The 7,762-nt window shown below is 40.7% G+C and overlaps 1 annotated feature.

Annotated features, from left to right (window-relative positions):
* Nucleotides 6,667-6,867: a silencer, noted in NCBI's record as "peak3890 fragment used in MPRA reporter construct". NCBI's record gives its function as "represses an SCP1 promoter by STARR-seq MPRAs in K562 erythroleukemia cells {active_cell/tissue: K562}" and the evidence as "EXISTENCE:reporter gene assay evidence [ECO:0000049][PMID:32103011]".

Consider the following 7,762-nt stretch of genomic DNA (forward strand, 5'->3'; position numbering starts at 1 on the left):
TGGGATTCTGCTTTCTAGTGAAAGTGGCAATGCCCCAGGAAACTAGATGATATGGGATTCTAGGCAGATTCCAAAACAGATTCCAGTACAAGAAGTAAAACTGGGAGGCAGAAATTGGACAATATAAGAATTTGGAAGAAAGTCAAGGCAAAAAGGACAACATGGATAACTAGTTGTATAGTCTCAGAGCATGGGGCTAGAGACCCAAAAATTTCTGCCTAAGGTTAGGAATCTGAGTTTAAACCTGCAGGGGCTTCTAGCAGCTGCAGCTGTGAAAACTTTTTGAACTGTAGAGACTGAATTTGACAAAGAGACTGTATCTTTAAGAATGAGTTTCAACTAGGGTATATGGAAGCTGGTGTGAAAGTCAAATTGCAAGACGTGAAGGAATGAGTGAGTGAAAAAGAATGCAATGCATGGAGGCCGGCCGCGGTGGCTCACGCCTATAATCCCAGCACTTTGGGAGGCCAAGGCAGACGGATCACAAGGTCAGGAATTAGAGACCAGCCTGGCCAATATGGTGAAACCCTGTCTCTACTAAAAACACAAAAATTAGCTGGGCATGGTGGCATGCACCTGTAGTCCCAGCTACTCAGGAGGCTGAGGCAGAAGAATCGCTTTAACCCAAGAAGCAGAGGTTGCAGTGAGCCGAGATCGTACCATTGCACTCCAGCTTGGGCGACAGAGCAAGACTCCACCTCAAAAAAAAAAAAAAAAAAAAAAAAAAAAAAAAAAAAACCATAGTGCATGGAAACAACTAACTGATGAAATTTTGCACCGAGAGAGGGAGAAAGAGAGGCAGAAAATGAGCAAAGACAAGAGAGAGCTTTCTGTTTTTATCTCTTGGTAATGAAAATAAAAACTTATGTAAACAGGTTGGGTGGGGTGGCTCTCCCATTTAATCCAGCAATTTGGGAGGCATAGGCAGGTGGGTCTCCTGAGGCTAGGAGTTCGATACCAGCGTGGCCAACATGGCGAAACCCCGTCTCTATTAAAAAAAAAATACAAAAAAATTAGCCAGGCATGGTGGCACCCACCTGTAATCCCAGCTACTCAGGAGGCTGAGGCAGGAGAACTGCTTGAACCGAGGAGGTGGAGGCTGCAGTGAGTCAAGATTGCACCATTGCACTCTGGCCTGAGTGACAAGAGTGAAACTCCATCTCAGGAAAAAAAAAAAAAAAAAAAACTTCTGTAAACAGAGAGAAGGAACCAATGGAAAAAGGAATCATTCATTAAACTATGGGACTGCAAGATAGAAGGAAGAGAAGGGCAAAGGAGTACACAAAGGGTATCTTGGCCAAGAGCCCATTTGAAAGTGCAGCCTCTAGGAAGCAGCCCTGGGCAGTAAGATCACGGAGGATCCAAGGCCTGTGTTTTAGTCCTCATTTAGCTTCTACTCCACCACGGAAGCCTGGACAAGTGCTTCTTCTCTCTGGGTCTCTATGTGCTCAGGAATAAGGGAGACAGCCTAGATCTTCTGGCTTATAACTAATTACAAACAGGTAGATCACAGATGTGTGGAAGGGAAGAAGAAGGGCGATTGGAAAGGAAGATGTGAGCAGCTTCCGTGTTCTCAGTAAGTTAGGAAGCAGCATAACCTGGTGATGGCTATGGCTGGTGGTGGAGGGTGTCACCTAGACTACTAGAATCAGATGAGAATCAGTTTAAGGGATGGCAGAGAACAGAAAGGCCATGAGAGACTGCAGGGCACAGTGGCTGAACTCTTAGCCAGGCCACTTCTGAATGCATCCTCAGTTACTCACACAAGTCTAAGTTATGAGACCTTAGACAAACTACTTAATTTCTCTAGACATGTTTCCTCATCTGTAAAATGGGAGTAATTGTTCCCTCATTATTTTCTTAAGGAATAATGAACACATTCAATAAGATAATGCATGTATAGCATTTCGTATATTGCCAGACCTGTCAGTGTGCTCACACAAGCTAATGGTAGTTGAGACCAAAAAGAGGAAAACAAAGCCGATAGGAAATGATAGAAATTCATAGTGATTTCCAAGATTAGAGTTTTGTAACTTGCCCTTCTACTACCATTGTCTTGAAGTGAGTGTAGACAAGCAGTTAATGAATTCATAGCATGGCGGAAGAAGGGGAGGAAGTGAAGTGTTTCTGGAGGGCAGGTAGGTGGGTGACTGAAAGACTGATCAGACAGGCAGAGAAGAAAAATGGAAGGGCCATTTGATGACTAAGAAGAGAGAGGGTGACAGTCCCAGGGCCAAAGGCCTGGGGAATGTGGTTCTAGGTCAGAAGGAATTGGGTGAAGCAGGAGCTTTGGACCATGTGGTCAAAGAAATGAAACACAAAGCTTAAAGAATTGAAAGGAGTCATCCAGAAAAGTTTTTTTAGAAGAGAGAAAAATGAAAAGCAAGAGGCAAAGAAAATTTCTAGAACGAGGGACAAAATGCTGTGTTTTCTGGCAAAGAAGGAATTAGGGGTGGGGAGAGACAATGTCATTATGTATTTTATATTTGTTTACTATTTTGCCACCTATATATCTTATTAGTTAAATCAAGACATTGAATAAAGAGGAAGTAGTAATAAAACAAACACGAATAGAGGCCCTGGAAAGGAAATGGCTCAAAGGATGGCTTGGCCCTCTGAATCGTACTAATGGCTGAAGAGAGGGGAAGTCAAGGTCACTAGAGACTCAGAAGCTAAGGTTATGAACCCTGCACTGGGTGTTTTTGTCTTCCTTATAAAGTTATAGAGGCATTTCACAACTATTTATAGTGAGGATGTTAGGCTAACCGTAGAACTAAGCCTAGTGAAAATCACCGTCAAGATTCACAAGCAATTGCCTCAATTATCATAACTTACAGGGTGCTTACTCAAGTGCCAGGCACTGTTCAACACAATCTTATTTAATCCCCACCATAAGACCCTATGAGACTATAGTTTTGCACATCTTACAGATAAACTGAAGCTCAGAGATGTGATTTCACTTACCTAAGGTCACTGTATTAGTCTGTTTTCATGCTGCTGATAAAGACATACCTGAGACTGGGAAGAAAAAGAGATTTAATTGGACTTACAGTTCCACAAGGCTGAGGAGGCCTCAGAATCTTGGTGGGAGGCAAAAGGCACTTCTTACATGATGACAGCAAGAGAAAAATAAGGAAGAAGCAGAAGTGGAAACCCCTGATAAATCATCAGATCTCCTGAAACTTATTCACTATCACGAGAACAGCACGGGAAAGACCACCCCCCCACCCCACCCCCCGCCCCATGATTCAATTGCCTTCCCCTGGGTCCTTCCCACAACACGTGGGAATTAAGGGAAATACAATTGAAGTTGAGATTTGGGTGGGAACACAGTCAAACCGTCACACCATATCAATCACTGAGGTGGTCAGTGGCAGAGTCAAGATTTAACTCCTCGAGCACTTTCTCATATTATAGATAAATTTCAAAGTGGAGGCAAGTTGTCAGACAATAGTTTATATTTTTCATTCAAAAGAAGATGCATGAATCACAATTATTTTTCTCTTAGTAATCCACTTTGTGAACTTCTATAATCCATTCTTCCCTGAATAACTTCCTATATTAGCTTGCCATTTTAGAATGTTCTCTGGAAAAATGTGTTTGGAGGTCCAATGTGGGAAAATTAAAATAGTAACTTCAAAGTATGGAACAAAAGTTGTACAAAATCTCAGTTTTCTGAGCATAGCAAGTATTAAAAAACTTAGCAATAAAGTCCTAAAAAATGTAATTGTTGCTTGGTGGCACTGTTAAATATGAATACTGTGGTCTTTTTGACAATTGTATTAATCCCTTTACAAAGCCTTCAGAAGTTCCATCACAGAAGCATGGATGCTGTTTTGATCTATTTATTACTCTTAAGTGTTCAGAGAACTGTCCCTATTTTCTAATTAACACTTTTAAAGATAAAAAGCCATGTATTAAATCAATCTGAATGATGCTTGTTTGTGAATCCCACAAGATAAGGCAATTTGCATGTTCACTTTGTACTTCCAAACTAAATCTGCACATCTCCAAAGCAGCCCCTTATAATGTAAACCTTTTGTGAGTATTTGTAACTTGAAAGAAAGTTTGGCCTACTACAGAAGCAGTGCCAATTATCTAAAGGGCTTCATTACCAAACATGATTAAGATACAAATATATTGGGTTGTTATTTTATATTGTTTGCTGTGGAGTTCGAGGAAACGACTTTTAAAGCATCCAGGATTATAGATTATTACCTTTTTATAGGGGACTAACACAACTCATTTCCCCCAACAGTTAACAGCTTTCAAAAGTAGCCAGTTGCCACTCATTTGGGGTAGAATTCCTTTGATATGAATTAAATTCCTTGCTGATGAAATGCACCTTTCAGCGACCTGTTTGAGTTTCAGCTGATGCTGTAGCATGCTTCGTGATCTGAATTCTAGCACCGGTGCTAAATCACAGTGGTGATTTATTATTGGATTTTCAGGACTGATGAGTCAGCACTGTAAGATGTTTACAAAATTAGGCTTTCAAGAACAATGGCACTTCTCTCATTAAATAGAAACCTTTGTTGCCCATACAGGCTATTGTTTCCACATGGTTGTGGTGTGATGTGTTCACACTTTGGGTTCACATCAGCTAGGACTTCTTTGCATTTGCAGAATCTGCCTTCATTGGACTTAAAGTGTTCAATCAACTTTGAAACCATGTGTAAAGGCTCCAGTCCTCCAAATTCAAGAAAGAATCCATTATCTTTTCTAAACAGTTCAACCTGTGCTTTCCCTTTGCCAAATAATTCAAGAAACCAGAAATATCACGTTGGCTGGTGAAGTTGTATCAGATTTTTCTTTTTTTTCTAAAGAAATAGAAACCAATGCCTTATATCTGTTGATCTCTTGTGAATGGCTCTGTAAAAGTTAAGACCTGGAAAAAGCTGTGAGGCAGTGGATGAGATGGCGGAAATGTGATGCTGACTTTTTCTGGGGAAAAGCAGAGGGGTTTTTTGTTTTGTTTTGTTTTTTCTTCATTCAACAAATGTTTGTTGACCTTCTGTTGAATAACAGGTGCTGATATATTATTATAGGTGCTATCAAAATGAACATAAACATGACATCCTTGTCTTCATGGAGTTTACTTTCTAGAAAAGAAAATGGACATAAAACAAACTCAAAAACACATAAAACAATATCAGCTCATAATTTCTATAAGCATTAGGCACATCCCCTAAAATTGAAATACTTTAAACTTCAGCAAATGCAAGCAAACTAAGGCCTGCTTATTCCCAAAACAATTTTGAGCTTATTTTAATAAGCAGCAGCTTCCTGGCCGGGCACTGTGGCTCACACCTGTAATCCCAGCACTTTGGGAGGCCGAGGCGGGCAGATCACCTGAGGTCAGAAGTTCAAGACCAGCCTGGCCAACATGGTGGAACCCCGTCTCTACTAAAAATACAAAAAATTAGCCGCGCGTGGTGGTGGGCGCCTGTAATCCCAGCTACTCAGGAGGCTGAGGCAGGAGAACTGCTTGAACCTGGGAGGTGCAGTGAGTCAAGATCACGCCATTGCACTCCAGCCTGTGTGACAAAGTGAAACTCTGTCTCAAAAAAAAAAACAAAACAAAAAACAGCTCCCTTTATAACACAGCTTTTATACAGCAACTGCTTCTTAAGAGCCCATGCACAGTTTTCATACTTTAGGTTCCATTGCTGACTATTCTGGGCATGTTTAGTATGACCCAACCCACAGAAAGAGCAACTTGACGACCTTTTGATGCCTCCTCTATCACTATTATTAGATAATTAACATGATCATAATTTTTGCTGTATTGTGTATCGATTATAATGAGACTAAGTATGGACAAATAAAACATATCAACTCAAATCCTAAAGCAATGGATTTCAGCATTTGGCTCTTGTTCCTACGACAAAACACAAGGCAAATGATGTTCACACGTGGGACATAGTTCCATGGACGTGTCAGGATGTGTGCAATCCTCAGGACGTTAGCGATACCTCCAGCCTTTTCTCATTCACTCAAGAATGCAAAAGGGAATATCAGTGAGTGAGAATGAAATCATTGTACAAATAACCTTGACTCCTCTGCTCCCATTTATTTTTGAGTAAATCAGTTGAAAACTATTCTTTTCTTTTTTTTTTTTTTTTTCTTTTCTTTTTGAGACGGAGTCTTGCTCTGTCACCCAGGCTGGGGTGCAGTGGCACGATCTCGGCTCACTGCAAGCTCCGCCTCCCGGGTTCACGCCATTCTCCTGCCTCAGGCTCCCAAGTAGCTGGGACTACAGGCGCCCGCCGCCACGCCCGGCTAATTTTTTGTATTTTTAGTAGAGACGGTGTTTCACCGTGTTAGCCAGGATGATCTCAATCTCCTGACCTCGTGATCCGCCCGCCTCAGCCTCCCAAAGTGCTGGGATTACAGGCGTGAGCCACCACGCCCCCGGCTGAAAACTATTCTTAATCCCAAATTACTTGTGAACCTCCTACAAAGAATCACAACAAATGTATGTGCCACAACAGTGCACTTAGAACCACTGACCACAAGGAACTAAATTGTTCTAAAATTAGATAATCATATGTGCTCTTTTTAGAAATTCATTATATAATTATAAAAAAATTTTTAGAAATTCATTATATAGTTACCAATAACCAAAGCCAATCACTGCCATAATTGAAACACTTAATTTGCTTTATAACTATAAACTTCTCCTTTCTCTCTTCAGTACTAAAGATTTGGTGGTAGAAGGGGGAGGGAGCTCTTAGCTCTTCCTAAAGCAGGTACTTCCTTTTCTCTACAGCCTGTGTGTCTTTCAGATCTCCACTGACAAGGTGTTGATATGTGGAAGTAGTTACCTCGGGTCAAGTGTTCCTGCAGCCAGGCTGCAAGTACTCACTTCAATGGAAAGCTCTGAGGTCCCTGCCAGCCCCTCTGGTCTACAGATGTCTTGGGATGCAGCCCCACCCTTTCTTAGTCACAGCAGTGGGATTTGCAAATGAGCAACACACCAGAGTTGTAACCAACCTTAAGGTGGACTTCAGCAGAAGGTAGGAAACTTGTTGGCTTCATAAAAGTACTTTTTAATGTTTGATATACTTCACACAAAATTTACAAGAATTCCTTCATTGTCAGTTCAGGTGGGACACTTTGTTCTTTCTGTGAATGAGTCCTTTGCTTATTTTTGGGAAAATGTGGTTTTACATATCCTACGTTTAACGATAAATCCTTCTGAAATGCAAACTGAAAGCACACTTTCCTTCTCATTAAATTCCATTATACCAAAAAAAAAGATCTAAGTATAACTAACAGCATCTACACAGGGCTGTAAACCAGAAGTACAGGACTGCCTTGTAAACAGTGCTACATAGGAAACTTGGGAAGGTCTGCCTCTCCGTTGTGACTCGACAGGCGATCGCTATGTGAAAGCAGATCTATGCATTAGACTAGATTCTTAAACCCAAATTTTATGACCGTATAGCCTTGTAGGAGTTTTATTTTTATCATTGTGAAACAGGAAACATGCCTGATAGAAAATGAAAACAATAAATATCATTTCTATAGAATAATGTGACTGCTTTTTGATAGGCAGCATCCTTGGAGCTTTGTTTTTCTGCATTTTAGTGAATGAATGAAAACTTTGTCAAATTTAGGACTTCCATGGGCATGATAAAAAAGGCAGATTTTAAAAATTCAACAAGGAGAAGGAAAATATAAGAGAAGAAAAGGAAAAATAAAGGAAAAGAAGGGAGGACAAAGACATCGGGTGGAAGAAGCAAAAACTGGACAAGGA

This window comes from Homo sapiens, chromosome 2, assembly GCF_000001405.40.
Source record: "Homo sapiens chromosome 2, GRCh38.p14 Primary Assembly".
NCBI classification, from domain to species: Eukaryota; Metazoa; Chordata; class Mammalia; order Primates; family Hominidae; genus Homo; species Homo sapiens.